The 23,858-nt window shown below is 39.4% G+C and overlaps 1 long non-coding RNA gene across 1 annotated transcript in view; it reads left to right on the top strand.

Annotated features, from left to right (window-relative positions):
- The first annotated feature begins 1,041 nt into the window (after positions 1-1,041).
- Positions 1,042-23,858, top strand: part of LINC01307 (long intergenic non-protein coding RNA 1307) — a 53,477-nt gene continuing 30,660 nt past the window's right edge. Inside the window, exons 1-3 of the long non-coding RNA NR_126402.1 lie at positions 1,042-1,080; positions 21,044-21,200; positions 22,968-23,050. This is a non-coding gene — a long non-coding RNA (long intergenic non-protein coding RNA 1307). The remainder of the gene's footprint in view (positions 1,081-21,043; positions 21,201-22,967; positions 23,051-23,858) is intronic.

Genomic DNA, 23,858 nt, shown 5'->3' on the forward strand with positions numbered 1-23,858 from the left:
TTCTTATTTCTCTTGATTCAACTTCCTGGGCCCTTTTGTATCGTCAAACTGATCTATTTAAAGTATCTGGTCTTCAGGTTCTTCCTCACTCAGTTTCTTCCACCTAACTTTAAACGGTGACATATTATAGCTGAGTGAATAAACTGACTTAGGAGTCAGAGTGCCTAAATTATGGTGCTGCCACTAATTAGCTGTATGATTTTTCTATGCCTGTTCTCTTTTGAAAAAAAAAAATCAAGGTATAAAACCTACCTGTCCATGTTTAGAAGTATAAATAAGTTTGTATAAATAATGCCCTGAGTTGATTGGTATTCACATAATAGTTATTAAATGAGCAATTTGCAGTTACTAAGAATGTCCTTCTCCATTGGTAACCACTCAACTCCCACACTTTAGTCAATATTTTGCCTAAGCATCTTCAAAATTTTGAAACCTTCCCAGTCCGTTCTATCCCAAATGATCTCTTACTATTGTGAATCATTGAATCTACTTATTTGGCAATTAATCTTGTAACGGTTTATGATATTTTTATGTGCACAGGACTTTTAATGTTATCTTCTGTTGGAAATACCCTTCCTGTGAAGTTCCCCTGCTTGCCAGTGAGATTTGGAGAACTGACTGTGGCTTATGTGTGCTTTAATCTTCAGTGCCTTGCATAGTGATGTTTTTTGGTAAGCATATCAATAAGAGCTCTTTAATTTAGTAATAATAAATACATTTCTAGTGTTCATTGTTGCAGTCCTGGCCATGGAGTGAATCGGCATGTAAATGTTTATTTGGTAGATTTTAAGGTACCAGTTAGAAGGTTTTTGCTACTCCAAATTATGAGAATCCAAGCTCATAATTATGAAGAAATTGATGGAACTGTGAATACTGAGCTTGCTGGCATCCTGGCCCCCCACTGGGGCCATTTGAACACTTCACATTAGTAATCACTTCCTTGCAGGGTAGTGTGGGCCCCCCATGAGCAGTTAATTAGGGGAAGCAGGTTTATTACTGCAAAGTGGTTGAGTTTAGAACAAGCTAAATAAGAAGATTGAAATCATATTGGAAGAAACATGGGATATTAATACATTGGCTGTAAGTAATGAAAGATAAGGATAGCATTAAATTCTAGCAACAATATATTAACTGCAAGGGAACTAATTTGTAAATGAGTGCTTTGCCTCTCTCTGAGATGGATTTTCATCTGATGAAAGGACCACGAGAACGGCCACCACGGTGACACCTTTGGTAAGATTTGAGTGTAGTTCTTAGTAGCTGCGTTTTCTGGGGCTCATTGCAATGTTTGGACTTGGATTCTTTAGCAGCAAAAGATAATACCCTTGAGGCAGGGGAATAGGGTCTGGAGGCAGGGAAACTAAGGACTTCCTAGAACTAAATCCCAACCTTCTTCACCCACGTAAGTAATTTTGTAACTTTACCTTAACTATGGCAGAAAACATCCTCTTCATTTGCATAGGGTGTACACTGAGTAAATAACTTTGTAACTTCATTTCCTCTTCATTTATATAGGGTGTGCACTAAGTGACCAATGGGAAACCTCTAGAGGCTATTTAAGCCCTGGAAAATTCTGTAACCAGCACTCTTGATCCGCTTGCTTGGGCTGCTCCTACACTGTGAAGTGTGCTTTTGTTTTCAATAAATCTCTGCTTTTGTTGTTTCATTCTTTCCTTGCTTTGTTTGTGCATTTTGTCCAATTCTTTGTTCAAAATGCCAAGAACCTTGACACCCTCCACCAGTAACACCCTGGAGAGGGGCAAAGAGAAGTTTTTTTTTGTTTTGTTTTAAAAAAACTTCATATTCCTTTAATAGACATGAAAAAAAGTCACTGATGCCTTCTGATAGTGTGTTTTTATGACATGCCTAGGAGTGGATGCCAAACACAATGGGGTTTCCTGGCCTCCTTAGGTGGATGGGTATGGGGCAGAGGGAGTAATAGTGGTGGGAGTTTTCCAGGGTTTTGCTTGCCCTTTCTGTAACAAGGTGGTATTCAGAGTGGGACAGATACTTAGGAGAGGAGCTTGGAGGGAGGTAGATGAGGAACCAAAATCTTTTCCCTTGGCCCTAATTTGCTCCTGAAATCATCCCACTGTCAAGGCAGGAAGAAGGAAATACGGAGCCAAAAGGGCTAGTGGAGAGAGGGGAAAAAAAATCACCATTGTTCCATGTGGCTGGGCTTTGACAATACTTTATAATAAAGATTTGAAGGCTGCTCTCTGGAGACTATCCAAAGAACAAGCAGTGTTTTGTGGAACCATGTCGAATGTTAAGGGGACATTTGAGCTTTCTTTAACATTTACCTTTCTTTCTTTTCTGATTGACCTCAAATTTGAGTTACATTAATATTATTTAACGTAGTCCAGATCTTTGCTCTCCTTGCTAAATATCCTACAACATTTCCTTTAATTTTATGGAAAGAGACCTAGAGACATGAAGGTAGATTAGTGATTTACTAGATCTACAAATTAGTAGCAAAACCAAGACTAGAATACAAAACTGGGGATGAGCAATTATTTGCTTTAACTATTATATGTTCTTTGTTACCAGTGAAGAGCTTATTGTGTTGCTAAGATACAGTCTGGTCACCATTGAAGGGCATTGTTCTATGTACAATGAAGACACTGGGCTTGATTCATTGCCTTGGGGTCTTAATCATATTATTTATTTCTTCAGTTCACAAAATTTTATAATTCACCATGGGTGTTTTAGTTAATTAGTACAAATTGGAAAGGTCTTATAGAGTACATAATTATTTCCTACAGGACCCTCTTTGGTGATTATAAATCCAGTTTCAGTGAATCTTGACAAGGATAAAAGCAATTACTTCAAGTTCGTAGAAAACCTCACAGTTCTCATGTTTTTCAGTATTGTCCAGTAAATTCTGCATTATAATTTTAATGTCAAATTATATCTTTTGAATTATACACACCTCAACATGTATGGATAAACTTAGAAACTTTAGTAGAGTCCTTCTCCAAAGACTTATTCACTAAATCTCTAGACCTCTTCTTTGCATCTTAAATACCCAGGCAACAAGAATTGGTAGAGACACTTACGAAACTGTAGAAAAAGCCAGGTTCTTGTCACACGACCAGGAAAAGTTAGGCACGAAGACACTTTGAAGTGTGAGGGGGAACGGAATGTATTGGACAAAAAGGAAAGGGAAAAATAACTCTCTGCAAAGCTAGAGAAAGTCCTGCTAGCAGGTTTCCCATCTCACAGATTGAATCCCAGGTTACTACGTGGGAACCGGAGAGACCAGGCTCCTCCCCGTCCTCCCAGTGCGCAGGTGGGCATTATTCAGAAAGAATCAGCTGGGAAAGGGCAGGCTTCATCCGGACCAGCAGTCTGGTTTTTCAGCTTCAAGCTGCTTTAGGCTTTAAGGAGGGGTTTCGCCCGGGGACCTTTGGCTAACTCCTGTCGCTGTCGAAACCAATATTGCATTTTTTTTCTTGCATAGAAATTCTAATGCGCAGTGGCTCACGCCTGTAATCTTAGCACTTTGGGAGGTTGAGGTGGGCAAATCACTTGAGGTCGGGAGTTCGAGACCTGCCTGGACAACACGGTGAAACACCCCCGTCTCTACTAACAAAATACAAAAAATTAGCTGGGCGTGGTGGCGTGCACCTGTAGTCCCAGCTACTCGGGAGGCTGAGGCAGGAGAATCGCTTGAACCTGGGAGGCGAAGGTTGCAGTGAGTCAAGATTGTGCCACTGCACTCCAGCCTGGGTGACAGAGCAAGATTCTGTCTCAAAAAAAATAAAAATTAATGCTAATTTATTCTCTAATCAGATTTTATTGAAATGGAATGCAGCTTGGTTTACGATCTTTTTTTAGTGGTATTAACTATTTTCTATCTACCCATTTGTTAGATAATGAACAGTAGGTAGTTTTTCTTTCTCACTGTGAAGCATAAGGATAGAATGTTCCAAGTCTGTAAAAGCATTAGTGCCATTTAGAATCCAAAATGTGAAAAGTTCAACATAATTAACACAGAGTAACAGTTTGCTTCACAGCATTTTAAAATTGACATATCATAGACAGTTGTACTGCTTCTGAGTTTGGTAACATTAATAAACAAGTACTTGTAATTTAAGAGTAATTATGAATCCATCCATGAGTGATTTTCTAATGAAGTCAAATAAAGAAATCAGCAGTTGGGAAGCATTCTTTAGTTCTTAATTAGGAAACTAGCAGCAAGTTAACAGTCATAATTTTCATCCAGTCCTTCCCATCGTATTGCTCTTATGTAATGGTATGATAAAGTCATTGTGTTTGGAGAATGACCAGTTTGACAGCACAGTACTTGGAGCTATGAAATCCTTTTCTCTGCCACTCTCAGAAGCAGTGCTATTCATGTAACATACTTAATACTTGGCAGAAAGAAAAGGCTTTGAGATCCTTGGATCTCAACGTGCTGTAGAAAATTATAGCATATTTAATTCTTCCAAAGAAGACCATGAGGAAGACATGTGACAAATACTACTGGACTCATTTTACAGGTAGAGACATTTGACAATGTAGCTGACTTAGTCAAAGCACTACAAGGAAAGAATGTAGATGCTTATTTCCATATTTCCAAAAGACAAGTGAATAAACTACTGATCAAACAAAGCTGAATTCATTACTTGCTGATTTAGGGAGAACACCCCCTTGACAATGTCTAAGGTTTCAGAAGATAGAGCTTAGGGGCATAAATTTATAGGGTTTGGAGGTCTGGTTGAAAGTAGGTTCACTTTCAATGTAGTGGTCTGATTGGATCAGACAAAGTTCAGATTATAACACTTTAGGATTTGTAGACCAATAATTCACACTTTTACTTTCCTGGGCAAGAATTTTCTGAAATAAATAGTAGAGGCATATTGACATAAGAACCTTCATTTTTAGGCCTGATAATTCAGTTGTAGAAGAGCAGTCCCATAGGACCCTGATCAGATTAGTTCAGAATTTATCCATCTATCCACTCACCTATCTGTCTGTTCATCCATTTATCCATCTGTCCATTCAACCAATATTCATTAAGCAGTTCTTATATTTCAGGCACTGTGACAGATACTAGGGAGGCAGACATAAATGACATAGTTTTTGGCCTTATTGGGCTCATAGTCTAATGAAGACCACTGATACCTTAATGATGGCTATTATTACTAGTAGTATTATTACTTATTTTTATTTTTATAGAGACAGGGTCTCCCTACGTTGCCCAGGCTGGTCTCCAAGTCCTAGACTCAAGGGATCCTTCTGCCTTGGCCTCCCAAAGTGCTAAGATTACAGGCATGAACCACCACGCCTGGCTGACCTGAAGAAATGGTTATGATAGCAAATGCTGTTGTGGTAGGAATAAAATAGGGGGAGATAAGATGAGAAAAGTAGGTTGTTGCTTAATTGTAAAGGGCCTCAAATGCAATGTTCAGAAAGTCTAGCTCTGTTTGGTAGGCCAGGAATTTTTACTCTTGGCTGCACTTTAACATCACCAGGAGATTAAAAAAAAAAAAAAGATAACGGCCCCACCCAGACCAATTAATGTCAGAATCTCTGGGATAGGGTCTGGACAGTTAATGCCCTGGTAATTCTACTGTATAGGTAGGACTGGAAGACCCTGACAAAGTGACTGAGGTGCCATCAAGGTTTTTAATGAAGTCAATGACAACTTTTGAAGTGTGTACAAATGATGGAGGATTGAAGCAACTAGAGATGGAGACCACTTAGGAGATTCTTGCAATATTTGAGGTGTGATCTCAATGGAGGCAGGGGCAGTGACTCTGAAGAAGCAGGCAGATTCAAGAGGCACTTTGGAGTTATTTTTGATTCTCCTTTGATTAGCTACCTCAGTCCTTCACTTTCATCACAATGTCTTGCAAGAACAGAAAAAGTGCTCAAAAATGCACGAACCGAATTAACAGAAATGTTGACATTTACTGTGCGAACAGAAGCATAGTAGAGGGTAAAATCAATCTCACACGATGTGACTTTTTTCGGAGGAAGAGTGTGGGACTTGGGAGTCAAAGCACTAAGGGTTGGGACTTGGCTTTGCCTTTGATGACTTGCTTGAGCTAAGTAAGTCCTAAACTGCTGAGGACTTGGTACAAGGAAGACCATGTTTTCTGCTCTGAAATCCTGCCAGGAAAGGATGTTGAACATTAAGAAGAAAATAGATAACAAATTGGGCCTAGGGGAACTCTCTAAGCCCAACACTAAAAGATTTCTCTATGATTGGGATCTTAATGCTGTCACTACTCTAGAAATTAGGCAAAGGGCTCCTCTAAAGGCTTGGTTCTTAGGCCCCCAGCCCTTGTCCTTCATATAGCTCTTGTCCTTCACATCTTCTGTGTTGCCCCTTTCCTGAAGGGTCTTCTCAGTGCAAAGGGTGGCAGGCATTCTTTAGGAATGGCACAGTGTTGCCAAAGTAAATAGCCCCTACTCTCTGTCAGGTACTTGCTAATAGTTTTTTGCATTATTCAATCCTCACAGCAAAAGGAATAATAGCTGGTGCATGAATACTGTAGCTTTCTGCTACTGACCATAGCAAGGCATTAGTGCAACAGTCCCTTAAAATAAGCTAGTAAATTTCCTACAAATTAGTGGGAGAGAGCCACAAAGTTAGGGTTTATTCTATCCTCACAACAATCCTGTAAGTGAGAATTAGTCAATCCTCACAACAATCTCGTAAGTCACATGCTATTATGATATCCATTATACAGATGAGTAAACTGAGGAATTTTTTTTGAAGCTCTGGTTTAGATAGAGTCTCAGTTTCTTGCCCAGGGTGAGTGCAGTGGCGTGATCTCGTTCAACGGTAGCCTCTGCCTCCTGGGCTCAGTTGATCCTCCCACCTCACCCTCCCAAGTAGGTGTAATTACAGGCATGTGCCACCAAGTCCAGCTAATTTTTGTGTTTTTAGTAGAGGCAGGGTTTTGCCATGCTGGCCAGGCAGGTCTCGAACTCCTAGCCTCAGGTGATCTGTCTGCCTCAGCCTCCCAAAGTGCTGGGATTACAGGCATGAGCCACCATGCCCAGCCACATGTTCCCTTTAATTAATATACTTTATCATATGTCATCTGAGAACACAGCCTGATATTAGGTGCATGGAAGGATACAAATGTAGTGGTGCCATTGGTTCTTCCATTATAGGAACTTGGACAGGTTGTTTTATCTTTCTGGAAGTCATCTACTTTGTAAGTTGAGAGGATGAGACTCAAAAATATGACCATCTTTTGTTTACTCTACACATTGTAGTCACAACACATTCTCATTAGCAACTTCTCTCATTGAGCACAGTGACTATTGTTGAGGAATTATTTAATGGATTCTCCACCTTTTTACCTTAAAATTCCTGGACTCAGTTATTTTCCAGTTTCTAGAACATTTATTCTACATTTGTGGTATTTGCCTTCATGCAAAGTAGTTGTGTGAGGCATCTAACAGCTATTCTGAGATATTTTATCACAATTTTCATGACAGGAAGATAAAGTATAGTGAAATACTTTAAAAACACTTCTTATTAAACATATGCTTGTCAAGCTATCTTTATGTGCTGGCTATTCTGCGAGGCTCCTTGGAAAGTGTGGAGAGCAGGAGCAAATCTGGATCTTACTCCTGCTTTCAGTCAGGTCAGTGAGGCAGACACTTAATCGATGATGGCACTAATTGATATACAGTTATAAACACAGGTAAATTCTCTGAAGGAAGGGATGAGTTTCTGTGAAAAACTGTAACAACGAAGCTGACTTAGACTGGAGTGGCAAGAAATCTTCTGGAAGGTGATGGTTTAGCTAAGACACAAATGATGAGTAGATTATTAACTAAGCTAGAGGTAGGAGTGGAGAGAGGGAGCCGTGGGAGTGGCATGTGTTAAAACCTTGTGGTGGAAGAAAATTGCTGAGCCCAAGGAACTGAAGGAAGGTCAGTGGGGCTACAGAATAGAGAACAAGGTAAAGGATGGTATTACTTGATGCTCGAAAGTGAAGAAGGGCCAGAAATGCAGGACTTTTTAGTCTACACGAAAAATTTTGATCCTTAATTTGCAATTTGTGGGGAGTCAATAATGGTGTTATAAGGGGCAACATCATCAGATTTTGGTTTTGAAAACATCACACAGGCTGATATGTGGTGAATGTGCTGGAGGAGGTTAAGATACAGGCAGACCATCTAGTAGTAGGCTTTGCAAGAGGTGATGGCAGCTTGGGTGAGGGTAGAAGCAGTGGACATAATAAGGAGCGAACATATTTGAAAAATACTGAAGCCAAGATTCTGGTGTATTAATCTGTTCTCACACTGTTACAAAGAAATACCTGAGACTGGGTAATCTATAAAGAAAGGAGGTTTAATTGGCTCAGGGTTCAGCAGGCTATAAGGAAGCATGGCTGGAGAGGCCTCAGGAAACTCAATCATGGTGGATGGCAAAGGGGAAGGAGGCACGTCTTACATGGCTGCAGCAGGAGGAAGAGAGCAAAGGAGGAAGTGCCACACATGTTTAAACAACCAGATCTAATGAGACCTCACTCACTATCACAAAAACAACAAGGAGGAAATCCACCCTTAGGACCCAGTCATCTCCCACCAGGCCCCACCTCCAACACTGGAGATTATTTGACATGAGATTTGGGTGGGGACACAAATCCAAACCATATTATCTGGCTTGGTGCCATTCACTGAAATTGAGAACTCTGGGGTAAGATTAGGTTTTAGGGACAGAGCATGAGTTTTGCCATGTACCTATTGAGATTGGGTTGCCTTCAAGACTTTCGATTAGCGATTTCATGGTTGGAGTTAGGCATCTTGTTTGAGAGCTCAGAGGAGAGGTCTGGGTGGCAGTATGTGTTTGAGAGTCTTAGAGACTAGAGATGCTGGGAAAAAGCATGGGTCTAGATGAAATTGCCTAAGGAGAGAACAAAGAGTAAAAAAAGGCGGTAGAGGGCACAGTCTTGAGGAACTCTACCATGGGGACTGGCAAAGGAAAAAGAGACAGCAAAGCAGGCAAAAATAAATAAATAAATAAAAATGAGAGATGAGAGAGGAAAATCAGGCCAGTGGGGTGTCCTGGAATCTGAAGGAAGGAGTGTTTTAAGTTGAGGGAGCATCACATGTCCTAAATGCTAAAAGGTGCCCTTTGGATTTGTTGACTTGGCAATTAAATGCCGTGGCATGTTGGTCACAGAGACCATTTAGGAGTGAGTTTTAGTGAGTGGAAGGTGAGAAAATGGAAACAGTGGTTTAGACAACTCTTTTAAGAGAATGGCTGTGAAGAGCAGCAGCTAAATTGAACTGTAGTGATGAGAGTTGCGTTTTTTTTTTTTTTTTCTTAAGATGGTTTAATCATGGGCATGTATAATTGTTGATGAGAGGGATCCAGTTGAAAGGGAGAGATTGATTTCTGCAGAAGACAGAAGGTCCCAGGGATGAGGGAAAGTGAGTTTTCCAAAGCATGGGTACATGAATGGGCCTGGGAGGAGGGTCACTTCCTCTAACATAAGAGGAAGAATGAGGCAGAATATGGGTACACATGTTTGGAAGGTCACTGGTTCTCTCTTTCTTATAATTATTTACTCATTATAATTCTTTCAATCCTAGGCTTTCAGGGAGGGAAGAAACGTTTTTCCCCAATTATTTTGCTTTTAAAATTATTCCTTCTTATTTTAAAGAGCACTTACATTCTCCTTAAACCTTCTGTTTTCTTCATTTTTCTTTCCAACAGATTCATTAACATTTTCCTTTATTCAAATTCTCACTCATGATCTCCTGTATAGGACTGAGGCAAATTGCTTAACACCTCAAAATTAAACCCTCTCACAAAATATTTTTGCTGTTTTCAAAAAGATTCAATATAAGAAAGATGTTTATAATTTTTTCAGAAATTGAATATACATGACAAGTGATTCAAATACTGTATTTATAATCATTACCTTCAGTTCTTAGATTGAAATAACCAGTCTTATTAGTTTCAGCAAAACCAATTAAGCATGCAACTTTATTGAAAGCAATTGTGACTTTGGGAAGCCACAAAGGAAATAGAAAAATGAGTAATTTCAAATATATAACACCTCAGTCCTTTGTGTTGGTGAAGTCTCCTTAACCTTCTGTGAGAGGAAAACCTGCCTAGAATTCTAATTACTGTGCCTGAAAACTAACAAGTATACATTCTAGTCAGAGCATTATTTGCAATTTGATTGCTGAGAAATTGATCCGTTCCATTCAGGAGTAAGGCATCCTGTTTCCAAGACAACAAAGAGTTGGACTTTAAAATTATTGATCCAGTTGCTTTGGCTACCATAATGGTGAAACGAGATTGATGGACCATAATCTGACAGTTGCTGGGAGATCCCTTATTAGTCTTGAGCTTCCTACTTCAGGAGTAACTGTACATAATTCCTAAACCTTTACAGCCAAAATGAATCCTTTTTGCTGATCATCGTACAGAAAGCAGTTTCATTGGAATGTAATTCTGTTTTTCCAACTTTAGTCGGACATAGGCTGCAAAATAAATCTGGGGAGTAGAAATGTTCTCTCTCAGCTATTCCTCATCACGAATTCCCACACTGTTTCCTTTAAAAAAATGACCTGCTGCAAAAAACAATTACTCAGGAAGACAGCTGATTGCATCTCCTTTCTACTCTTGACCAACCATGCGATATATTTCCAAATAGTTCATCACTCCATAGTTCTTTCTTGAATGTTCTCTCCAGCATCCAACATTTTGCACCAACTAAAGTGCCAGGTCCTTGTCTGCCTGTCCTATATTTTTACAGTTACACTGACTTGGGGGATTGTTCTTGATTGTTTACTGCATTAGATGGTCATCATGTTTCCTCCATTCCTCACAGGTGACAGTATATACATCCAACAACAACCAGTGAGTCTATTGTCTGGGAAAAAGAAGAGCAGATCAGGTCATGCTCCTAAGGAATCGTTCATCCTGCAGCAAATGCAATTATGTGGTATTCAGTGACGACAATACATCCACCAAGATGAGGGCATGGAATTTGGCAAAAGACCTTTTCCCTAATCTGTGAACTTATTTATGACAAAAGTCTGACAGAATTATATAAATGAAACCACAGTTTTCTATCAACAAATTCTGTTCCATAAAAAATCCCCGGTTGGGCGCAGTGGCTCACGCCTGTAATCCCAGCACTTTGGGAGGCTGAGGCGGGGGGATCACGAGGTCAGGAGATCCAGAGCACGGTGAAACCCCGTCTCTACTAAAAATACAAAAAATTAGCTAGCCGCGGTGGCGGGCGCCTGTAGTCCCAGCTACTCAGGAGGCTGAGGCAGGAGAATGGCGTGAACCCGGGAGGCGGAGCTTGCAGTGAGCTGAGATCGCGCCACTGCACTCCAGCCTGGGTGACAGAGCGAGACTCTGTCTTAAAAAACAAAACAAAACAAAACAAAACAAAACAAAACCCCACAAGTTTCCTGAGAAAGCTGAACTAGTTCTATAGGTTGAAGTAAATCTAATTTATTTCATTTCATTTTAATTCAGCAAATATTTCTTGACTACTAACCCTGTACCTGGTACTGTGATAGGTGTCGTGAATGCAAATCCCAGCACTCAAAGGACTTACTGTCTTCTGGGGAAGAAAGATAATTAAACAGCTACAGGACAATGTGATGCTTGCTATAACAGAGGAAAACACAGGATGGTTGGGGAGCTGAGTAAAGGGAATACCTAACTTTTTTTAAGAAATAATTTTTTATTTCAATAGCTTTTGGGGTACAGTGGTTTTTGGTTATACAGATGAACTGTATAGAGATGAAATCTGAGATTTTAGTGCACTGGTCACCCGAGTAGTGTACATTGTACCCAATACATAGATTTTTATCCCTTGCCCTCCCTCCCTCTCCCCCTTCTGAGTCTCCACAGTCCATTATACCACTCTGTATGTCTTTGCTTACCCATAGCTTAGCTCCCACTTAATAAGTGAGAACATACGGTATTTGGTTTTCCATACCTGATTTACTTCACTTAGAATAATGACCTCCAGCTCCATCCACATTGCTGCAAAAGACATCATTTTGTTCTTTTTTATGGCTGAGTAGTAATGAATACCTAACTTTTGAAGGAGGCATTTATCAGACTTCAAGGAGCAGATGACGTGGCACCTGAACTTAATCTTGAAGGGTGAGGTTGGCCAGGCTGACATAGGAGAGGAAGAGAGTCTAAGTTTCAAGAAAATATATGCAAAAGCACAGAAGCACCAAAGAGCATTTTTATGTAAAGAATGGCCAGTCACTGGGGTTGTCTTCAGGCTGATGTGCCTCTAGAGTTTACAAATAGGACAGGTGACCAGGATGTAAAATTTTCCAAGAATCTTTCACAGAGGAGACTGGAGTTGAGTTTATGCTTGGAAATGGCCAACTGAAGGGTAGACAAAAATGAGAGAAGGGGGCATCCTAGATGGGGAAGGGATATCATCAGAGGCATGTTTCTCAAAGCTTTTTTGTCCTGCCACATGTTGAAAATATGAGTGTTCCTATTGAAAGTGAATGCCAACTCCCCAAATACAACCTGTTGAGAAGACAAAGTTTAGTTTATAGTTTACCACCTATACAGAATTTTGACGGTATCTTCGAAGGTGAAAGGCATGGTGAGAATTTACTGAGGATGGTAATTTTGGTTTAAGCCAAGTACTTCAATGCGGGGATTTTATTAGGATTGGGTAAGGATCATGACACAACAGTCCAGGATTGATGGAAACAGCAAGGCAAGGATTTTGAGGCAAGAGATTCAAAGAATCTTAGAGCACAGACTGTTTGTTAGTACTTTCCATTGAAGAGTCAGTGGGCCCGTTTGGAAGTTTTGACATGAACAATCAAAGCAGTGGCCTGGACAACAGACATCTGGGAAGGTAAAGTAATGCTCGTGTAGTAGAATAGTAAAGTCATATGAATGTAGACAGTCACATCTGGTTTCCATTCTTGGTGTCCCTACTGAGGTTATTTAGGTTCTCATTTCATAGTGCACACTGGCATAAACAGGGGAAGCAGCCCGGGTAGAATGGACCACTGATGGGCTTCGGTCAACCTAAGCCCTGACCTAGCCAATGTGGGGGCAGGAGAATACATTCCTTGGCACATCTATAACCCCTCTGTGCCCCAAGTGATCAGCATACTGACTTAGTGTCTCTGCCTTACGGAAAGAGATAAAGACAGAGTCTTTGTGGAAGAATTGTTTGTAAGAACATAAAATTGGAAATAACCTCAACATCCATCAACAAGAGAATGGATGGGTAAATTGTGGTATATTCAAATAAAATGAAATATTGTACAGTAATGAAGAAGAATGAGTAACAACTACAAATACCCATATATGACCTATAAACATACGCTTGAGGGAAAAAAGGATGTTGCCAAATATATATGCACTGTTTTAACCTTTATATACTTAAAAGACTTCTATAGAATGTATGCGTGGACAATTATGAAAAGTATAATGAGATGCATGTAAAAAATAACAATCTGAATAGTGGTTACCCAGGGGACTTCAACTGCAATGGTAATGCTATTTTTAAAGCTAGGTGATAATTTCATGTGTCCATTATATTCTAAAGTTGGGGGCATTAAGACCTTAAATTCTGATGGGTTTTTTTTACTTGTGGAAGTGGCCCCCCGACTCCCAGCAAAAGTAGCATCCCACCCAGTGAAAAGTGGCCTTTTCCCTTCACTCTGAGAAGATTACTTTACATTGCCTGAGGAAACAGTAATAGTCTCTGCTGAGGCAGACACCATACAAGACAATGCTGATTCTCTTCAGATCCAGCATTGGATCACCCCTCTTTGTTCTAGTCCTATAATGAGACTCAAGTCCCGGTAGACCCCTAAAGATGAGGTACAAAGCGCCATGCATGAGGTAATGTGCTACATTTCAAAATAACTAGTTGAGTTTTCTAAGGTATATAAGTAGAAATCCAGGCATACATGTGGGAACGGATATTAATGGTGTTGGATAACAGTGGAAGGAACATAAAGTTAGATCAGGCTGAATTTATTGATAGAGGCTAACTAGGCAGAGATTCTGCATTTAATACTGCAGCTTGGAGAGTTAGAAAGGGCTCTCACATTTTGTTTGGTTTATTGGCTAAGACATGGATCAAAAGGTGTTCCACTGTGAGAAAATTGGAAATGGCTGTTCTGCCTTGGTTTAATGTAGAGAAGAGAATTCAAAGGCTTTTGGAGATTGGAATGTTAGAGTGGATTTGTAATTTAAGACCTATTCACCAACACTGGGATGGTCTGAAAAACATATCCTTACCAATACTTTGAGAAATAAATATGGGAGGAGAAATAAATATGTCTTCTTTGTACACCAGACCTTACAGTGAGAACCATAGCCATTCAGTTAAATTACCCAAATCAATGGGAGTAACTGGGATTCTGGTGTAGCAGGAGCTAAATGGTGGCACTCAACTACCGAAGGCAAAGTAGTTCTGGGTACTGTAATAGCAGAGTCAAAGCAGTAGTCAGAACAGTCTGATTTGCACACACCTATGACACTGGCGAGTAATCATGGCATTCCTAGAAGTGAAACAGATAGGAAGCCTACTAAATTCTTTGTTGATTTGTGTAAGCAGAAAACTTCTAGGTCTTGTAAACAAAAGTCTAACTCAAATTGCAGAAACAAAGAATCATGGCCCTTCGGTCGGTTGCCAAACTTGAGCAAGTTTACAGACCCAGAAGCCATTGAATAAAGGGGAGATTGAGTCCCCTCCAGAAAGGCCCTTGGTACACTACTACAAATTTAGACTGTTAATCTTTCTCCCAGCCTCTCCCAAAGGCACCTATGGCCTTTTATTAGGGTAACTGTGTGTTGGGAAAAGGAAATAATCAGAATTTTGGGGACTACTGGACACTGGCTCTGAACTGACATTGATTTCAGGAGACCCAAAACATCACTGTGTCCCTCCAGTCACAGGAGAGGTTTATGGGGCTCAGGTGATCAATGGAGTTTTAGCTCAGGTCAGTCTCACAGTGGGTCCAGTGGGTCCCTGAGCCCATCCGGTGGTTATTTCCCCAGTGCCAGATGCACAATTAGAATAAACATACCTAGTAGTTGGCAAAATCCCCACATTGGGTCTCACCTGTTATGATGGGAAAGGCCAAATGGAAGCCATTATAACTATTTCTATCTGGGAAAATAGTAAATTAAAAACAATACCACATTCTTGGAGGCACTGCTGACATTAGTGCCACCAACAAGAACTTAAATGATGTAGCAGTGCTAATCCCCACAACATTCCCATTCAATTATGCTATTTGGCCTGTGCAGAAGACAGATGAATCTTGGAGAATGACAGTGGATTACTGTAAACTATACCAAGTTATGACTCCAATTGAAGCTGTTATACCAGATGTGGTTTCATTGACTGAACAAATTAACACATCGTGGTACTTGTTATATAGCTGTTAATCTGACAATTGCTTTTTCCTCCATGTCTGTCCATAGGCCCACCAGAAACAGTTTGCTTTCAGCTAGCAAGGCCAGCAATACACCTTCTACCTCATGGGTATGTAAACAGGTAAACAGTTCAGTCCTAAGTTGTAACTTAGTTTGCAGGGATCTTGATTGCCCATTGCCCTTCCCTTCAGTAAGATACCACACTGCTCCATTACATTGATGACATTAAGCTGACTGGACCTAGTGAGCAAGAAGTAGCAGCTACTTTACACTTATTGATGAGAAATTTGCATGTCAGAAGTGGGAAATAAATATGACTAAAATTCAGGGACCCTCCTGAAATTGCCTTTGCAAAAATTATAACAGTGAGAAAAATCTGACATAAGAAATTATGACACTGGAAAAAATAGGACCTACCCAACTCCATCTTGCTTCTAACTTCCAAGCTATCCTTGTTCATCTGGGGCATAGGCCAGATGAACTATTAGAATAGTTTAGTTTGTAGTTTAACTTTGAAACAAAGATGATGACAGCCCCTTCCTAAAACAAACCCCCTCCTTGCCTGGGGACCAGACTGCCTTTGTAAAACTCACAAATTAGCCACAAGATTAGAAAATGTGGCTCCGCAGTTATGCAGCCGGAGGCCACAAGATTTCTAACCTTCTCAAATTTTCCTATAGATAACATCACTATCATAAAACCCAAGATGGGTGTTTGAAGTATTTTTCAGACCCTGAATTCTGATAGACGAGCTAGCACCACCCAGACTAGTAAACTGGCTCATCTGGTCCTGTGGCTTCTACCCAGGATCTGACTCAGTGCAAGAAGACAAGCTCTGACTCCCTGTGATTTCCTCCCTAACCCGACCAGTTAGCATTCCCCATTCTTCAGCCCCCTGCCTGCCAAAGTATCTCTAAAAAACTTTAGCCTCCAAATTTTCAGGGCTTCTGAAACTCCTGTCCTTCTGCTTACCTGGCTCTGTGTGTGTTAAACTCTTTCTTTACTGCAATGCCACTGTCTTGGCAAGTTGGCTGTATCTGTGCAGTGGTCAGTAAGAACTCATCGGGTGATTATATTCTACCTCAGTGAAATTTAGGGGTCCAATGGTGTAGGGCATGTCAAGATATTTTTTCTGAGGTGAAGAATAAATTGCATCTGGCCTCCCAGTGCTAGATTTTTTTGCATCTGCAATTGTTGGCTGCAGAGATTAATGGTTGGTGTCATTCTCTGAGAACAACTGTCCTGAAAAAAGTTGGGGATAGACAAGGGTGGAAGGGAGATTGAACCTCTTATTATTTTGTGAAACATAACCATAAATTGTTCCTTGTAATTGGAGAGAGTGTTCTAATTTGGGGGCCTGGGGCTATAGGTTGTCTGAGTGACAAGGTCTCACACCAGAAATCAACTTAGGGTAACATTAGTCAGGCTATAAATGTAACATTCAAATAATTAACATGAATAAAACAAGAAGAACACTTGGCTCACATTTAAATTTTCGCTTAAATGTCCAGTAGAAATGCCTACTTGGTTCTTATTGATTTTTAAAATGAGTTTGGTAGTGTTTATCAAGGCTATTTAGTTCAATGAATCTACCACTTAACTTTCTACAGCATAACAAAGGGGGTATAATTAAGTGTTCATGCAGAGACTGGCTTACCCAATTTGACATGGAATCAGTACAGTTGGAGCTCCAGCAAACTCTGGGTGACTGACAACACATGAATTAAGTAATTACTTTCAGTATCTCTACTTTGCAATTACCTTGAAATTTGAAAGTGGATAATTAATTCCTAATTCCTTAGTCAATATAAAAAAAAAAAACCTCAGAATTTGAGCTAGGCTAAGCCCGGCAGTCTTATTCTGAACCTTTCCAAATGTTTCAGTTAACCCGTCATATGCCAAGTGACTTGGCTCAAATAAAGTGTAAAGTATTTTTAAGATTATTACTAAGATCCTGCATTTAAACTTAGGTTTTTATTTTTAATTAATTTCAGTCCACCAAAATTTTGAAAACAGTGGAATAAATGTTTATTTGAATTCCACTGGTTTATCTCAGATGGATTTGTCTCTGGGCATAGACAGATGGGTCTATGTGCATTCAATGTATATGAAAGAACGATCTTTGTTTTGACCTCATAACCTAGTTAAGCCCCAATTCTTATGCACCATGAGTAGTTTATGACCCAAAATATCCACAGATATGGCTTTGTGGAGGGACAAAGCCAGATTCCAGGAAATCACAGCAGTGCATCGTACAGAATGTTTGAGCTCAAGGAAAGATGGTGCATGCGAAGTCATGCTTCCTGCTCAGATGCTGCTACCCACAGTGATCTGTAGATTTTAACTGAGGGCGAGGGGACAAAAATGCAAATGTTCTTTGTAATATGGGCTATATCAAATTTAAGATGAGTCTGTGAGAAGTTGATTGTTAAATAAAAGCTATCAAATAAAAATCAGCCGTAATGTGAAAGCATTTTCTATGATGCTCTTCACTTAGAAATTTAGTAATAGAGGGGGATCTGGTATATTGTATAATACATTTTAGATATATTTAGCTGGAATTAACAAGGACTGTCAGTAACATTGCATACAGAATGCTTGAAATATCTAGGCAAAAAATGGTACAATTCATTTGGAAGAAAATGCATCACTACTCTGACATTAATTACTAATTTCCAGGTTCCAATTTTTAGTCTATGTGCTGCCTGTCAGTGCAAGCCCCTAATTTCCCAGTTGCTTAATGTAGCACTAATAATTTTTAACTTGCAATATACTCAGGTAATTTTATGTTAAAGTAAATAATCTCTTGAGTGTAAACTACTTCGCATGCACTGATTCTTTATTAAAATCCTCAATTTTACCTCTCTGTCTGTCCTTTTTTTCCTTTTTCCTTCCTTTCTTCTTTCTTGCCTTCCCTTTCTATCCATTCTTTGTGTCCCTCATCCATTTTTTTCCCTGCGGGTTTCATAAATAAATAAAATCTCAACTAGATAATAAATTCATATTTCCAACAGGTACTTACTCTTCAATAAACAAAGTTGAGAGGGTGGGTGTGGTAAAAGATAGCAATCAGGAACCTGTTTCTACCTGGTTCCCAGGTTTATGGAACCCCTGCGGAGGGAGAAAGCTCCAATAATGGCTAATATTGTACTTGCCCATCTTGGTGAAATAGAGCTGGATTTCATTTGACTTTTTAAAAAATTTCGTTTTTTGTAAGTCCTTTATTAGGAGACAATTTTATGTTTTGTATACATACACAAAACAAAACCCCGCAGAGCCTTGGAATATCTAAAAACTTCTAATTTGTCCCTTCTCATTAATAAGACTTACTTTATAATTTGAGACTGACAACACTCCGTACTACCAGATGATATAAGACATGACTTCTGTTGACAGTGTGATTTCTCCTTGATGTTGGCTGGGACTCCCTTAGTGAATACTAACGTTATGCTTAGCTCAGAAAACGTAAATCGTTTAAGTATAACAGTCTTTTGCCTTTTTTTTTTTTTTAGTAGGAAAAGGATTATCAGTTTTATTTAATTGGTTTCACTGTCTTCAAATCATTGTTGGCTCTTAGCATATATTTAACTATGATTTTGAAGAAGGAAGTTGTAAGACAGAGGAGGGGAGTTAGGTGGCTTCTTATTATTCCAGAAAGATCAGTTTCTATCAGAAATGGACTTGCTTTGGCTTTCAGATATTTTGTAATCATTTATCCTCTTGAAATTTAAATAGATTATGTTAGAGACAGAGGACCTGAGTATTAAATTTAGATTGGAAAGGAACTAGCACAATTAAGAGAGCTATGCCTGGAATATGCAAAAGAAACAGGTATAATAGAAGAAGATCAACACCCAAATGGAAATTCTACAGTGAGTTATCCGGAACCTACAGTGATCCTTCAAAAATGATTTTATTTGTTCAAGCAACTTCTTAGACAATTTGATGACAGGCATGTGTCAAAGTTCAATTTCAAACTTTGGTAAGAGAAGATGCTTTTGAAAAAGCCAACTCAAAGACTCCTGCTTAATAGAGATATTTTACATGAATGTTTAAGTAAGGACCTTAAGACTGTCAGGCCGTCACGAGACCCACAGTCAGGTAGGTGGGTGATGAATTTCTTTTTCAGAAAGAATTTCTAATTTCAATAAAGTGTACCAGAAAGTTGTTTAAGTAAGCATTTTATCAGGGATTCTCTGTAATTCTCAAAAGAGGTTGTGAATTTTATCTCATTAAATCCAGGTTTGGTACAATTTTCTTCCTCATATCAGTTCTTTGCTTGTAACCCTCAAATTGCTTCCCATAACACTGAGAATAAAATTCAATTTTTTTTTTTTGAGACGGAGTTTTGTTCTTGTTGTCCAGGCTGGAGTGCAATGGGGCTGTCTCCGCTCACTGCAACCTCTGCCTCCCGGGTTCAAGTGATTCTCCTGCCTCAGCCTCCTGAATACCTGGGATTACAGGTGCCCACCACCACACCTGGCTAGTTTTTTTGTGTTTTTAGTAGAGATAGGCTTTCACCATATTGGCCAGGCTGGTCTCAAACTCCTGACCTCAGGTAATCTGCCCACCTCGGCATCCCAAAGTGCTGGGATTACAGGCATGAGCCACTGCACCCAGCCAAAATTCAAATTCTTACAGGACCCAATACATGGATGATGTCATTTCCTGCCTGATATAGTTTCGCTGTGTCCCCACCCAAATCTTGTCTTGAATTCCCACATGTTGTGGGAGGGACCCAGTGGGAGATGATTGAACCATGGGGGTGGGTCTTTCCCATGCTGTTCTCGTGATACTGAATGAATCTCAAGAGATCTGATGGTTTAAAAAAAGTGGGAGTTTCCCTGCACAAACTCTTTTTTTTTTTTGCCTGCCGCCATCCACGTAAGGTGCGACTTGCTCCTCCTTGCCTTCCGCCATGATTGTGAGACCTCCCCAGCTATGTGGAACTGTATGTCCAATTAAACTTCTTTCTTTTGTAAACTGCCCAGTCCCGGGTATGTCTTTATCAGCAGCGTGAAAATGGACTAATACTCTGCCATTCCTTTTCCTGACTCAGGGTCCTTCCTTTCTGTTTGTTGAATATGCCTACCATAACCCTGCCTCAGATCTTTGCATGTGCTGTTCCCTTTGCCTAGAATGCAGGTCTCTTGCACAACTAGGTGGTTTGTCCCTCTCTTTATTCATGTCTCTCTCTGTTCCATTCTGACCTCATTTAGAATTACAGCCCTCCCAGCTCCATCCCCTCTCTGGTACTCTCTATTTCTTTGCCCTGTTTGGATTCTAAATACTGTTTGCTGGCATTACAGCATATACTTACTGTTCATTGTTTATCTTCCCCTGTTTCCACTGGAGTGTAAATAAAGTCCATGAAGGGAGGGACTTTGTTTCATTCACTTCTATATTCCCAGGGCTTAGAACAGTGACTGGCTTAGAGTATATGTACATAAGACCGCCCTGAGGCTGAATGGTATCCCCACAAAAATACATATGTTGAAGTTCTAACCCCTAGTACCTTAGAATGTACCATATTTGGAGACAGGATCTTTACAGAGGCAATTAAATTAAAATGAAGCTATTAGAGTTATTAAGGGGGGCCCTAGTGCAATCTCACTTGTGGTCTTTTAAGAAGGGTAAATTTGGACACAGGCATGTACAGAGGGAAGATGATGTGAAGACACGGAGAGAAGATGGCCATCTACATGCTAAGGAGAGAGGCCTGGCCTGGAACAGATCCTCCCTCATGATCATCAGAAAGAACCAATCTTGATGACACCTTGATCTCAGATTTTGAGCCTCAAGAACCGTGAGAAAATGAATTTTTGTTGTTCAAGCTACCCAGTCTGTGGTACTCTGTTATGGCAGCCCTCACAAGCTAATATAGCACTATACATATTCTTAATATGGATTTGTTAAATTAATAATTAAATGGTATGGAACATTTTTCTAAGGACAAAAGGTAGTGGGCATTGTTGAACACTTATGCAGGAAAGAAACACAGATGATGATTTCTTAATGGAAACTTCAAGGTCAGCATGGAAGCAAGGTGATATGATGGGAGGGTGAAGGTACTGGTGCTTTGTATTTTTTGGATTACAGCTCCAAGCATCACTATGGGAGCATCTCAAGATGCTCTAATCCATCTTGCTGGGAGCTCTAATCCGACAAATACGGAGCACTAGAATCCTCTTGTCTTGGAGATAATTCAGTCTCTCAGAAGTTTGAGAATACAATGCACTGCTACTTGGAGCTTAACTATGACCAACAAAGAAGAGAGCATATGAGTAAAGTAATGGTGATCTGAATTTTAAAAGAAATTGATCTTGGTATTCATGATTGTCAAGGATGCTGGTTATTATCAGACTTATAAACTGAACTTCAGGAAATCAGACTGAAAACTGTGAAGAGGAAAGATAGGTATTAACTCCATTATTACAAATAGTAACTGGCAAAAAAACACAGTGTAAAAAGCATTTCTCTGACATTGCAATTACAACTGACTTCAATAAGGATATAAAGAGGAGTTTATATAAAGGACCCATAGGCAGCATATTCACAAAACACAGAAGGAGGGACCCACGGCTAAGAGGGAATTCAAAAGATTGGCAGAAATCAATAAGACCAGTGTTAGGAAACCTGCAGGCACGCAGACTCCCCCAAATGCCAAGGACAGCAACATTTCAACTTTGATTTAACATGTGGGAGACACAAAAACAAGGCATGTTTCTGACCTGAATGAAACAGATGGTGTAATGCTGACTGTCTATTACAAAGAGAAAGCAAAACTATTTAAGTCCTATTTTGTTTTCATATTCTTTGCCCACAAAAATAATTTCAGATTGGAAAGCCCAAACAAGTAATATTAAAAGGGAACGGCAATCCTCACTAGGTCAGCATAGTAAGAGAATTAGTTGTTTTTAATAAGATCGAATCTCCACCCCAGATGGATGATATCCCTGGGCTGTGAGAAGACATGCAGGGAAGCCAGACTGTCATCATTTATCTTCGAGGAATAATGGTCAATAACAAAATGAAGACATTTAGAGATGTGCAATGTTGTATTAATCTTCCAAAAAGGGCAAAAGATAATTTCTAAAAATGATGCAAAATTAGGCTAACCATTGGTTTTTATTATTAAACAGATTGTTAAGCAGATGGCTTGCAAACTGCAAAAAAAAAAGTGGTGGTCCTTCATTGTCATCTATTGTCACTACCCATTGTTGCATCCATTTTCATGACATCCATGCCACTTAAAGTAATTTATACCAAATCAAGCTCATTTTCTTTTTGGAAAAGACACCAACTGGAGGATGAGAGGAGCATTTGAGATGCACTTGATTTTGAATTTATTACGGTATTTGTATCTAATGATATCCCCTTTTAACTGTCTAATGAATACATCATCCTCTCAAACACATCATGACCCAAGCTGAATTTAGTCTTCCCTCAGAGAAGAGTTTTCTCTTTTCAAGTTCTGTCCAAATTTTCAGCCTTCTTTATTTAAAATTTAATTTTATAGTAACTTTTTTAAATAACTTTTTTATAGTAACTTTTTTTCCAACTTTTATTTTAGATCCAGGAGGTACATGTACAGCTTTGTTACCTGGGTACATTGTGTGATGCTGAAGTTTGAGTATGAATGATCCTGTCACTCAGGTACTGAGCATATTACTCAATAGTTAGTTTTTCAACCCTCACCCCTCTCCCTCCAGTAGTCCTCAGTTTCTATTGTTGCCATATTTACGTCCGTGACTACCCAATGTTGAGCTCCCACTAAGTGAGAACATGTGGTATATAGTTTTCTTTTCCTACATTAATTCGCTTAAGATAAACAACTAATTCTCTTACTTATGCTGACCTAGTAAGGCGGTTTTGATTTGCATTTCTCTGATTAGTGATGTTAAACATTTTTTCATATGTTTGTTAGTAGCTTGTATGTCTTCTTTTGAGAAGCCAAAAGCATATGAAAAAAACCATAGTGAGATAGCATCACATGCCAGTCAAAATGGCTATTACTTTAAAAATTACTAAAACAACAACAAAAAAAATAACAGATGTTGGTGAGATTGCAGGAAAAATGGAATGGGCAATATGGCCATTTTAATGATATTGATTCTTCCCATCTATGAGCATAGAATGTTTTTCCAGTTTGTGTCATCTGTTTCTTTCAACAGTGTTTTATAGTTCTCCTTGTTGAGATCTTTCACCTCCTTCATTAGATATATTCCTAAGCATTTTTTTGTTTGTGTGTGTGGCTATCGTAAATAAGATTGTGTTCCTGATTTGGCTCTCAGCTTAAATGTTAGTGGTGTCTAGAAATACTGCTGATTTTCTTACATTGATTTTGTGTCCTGAAACTTTACCAAAGGTGTTTATCATTTCCAGGAGCCTTTTGGTGGAGGCCTTAGAGTTTTCTAGGTATATCACTCTATCACAAAGAGAGATAGTTTCACTTTTGCTTTTC

This window comes from Homo sapiens, chromosome 1 (assembly GCF_000001405.40).
Source record: "Homo sapiens chromosome 1, GRCh38.p14 Primary Assembly".
Taxonomy (NCBI): domain Eukaryota; kingdom Metazoa; phylum Chordata; class Mammalia; order Primates; family Hominidae; genus Homo; species Homo sapiens.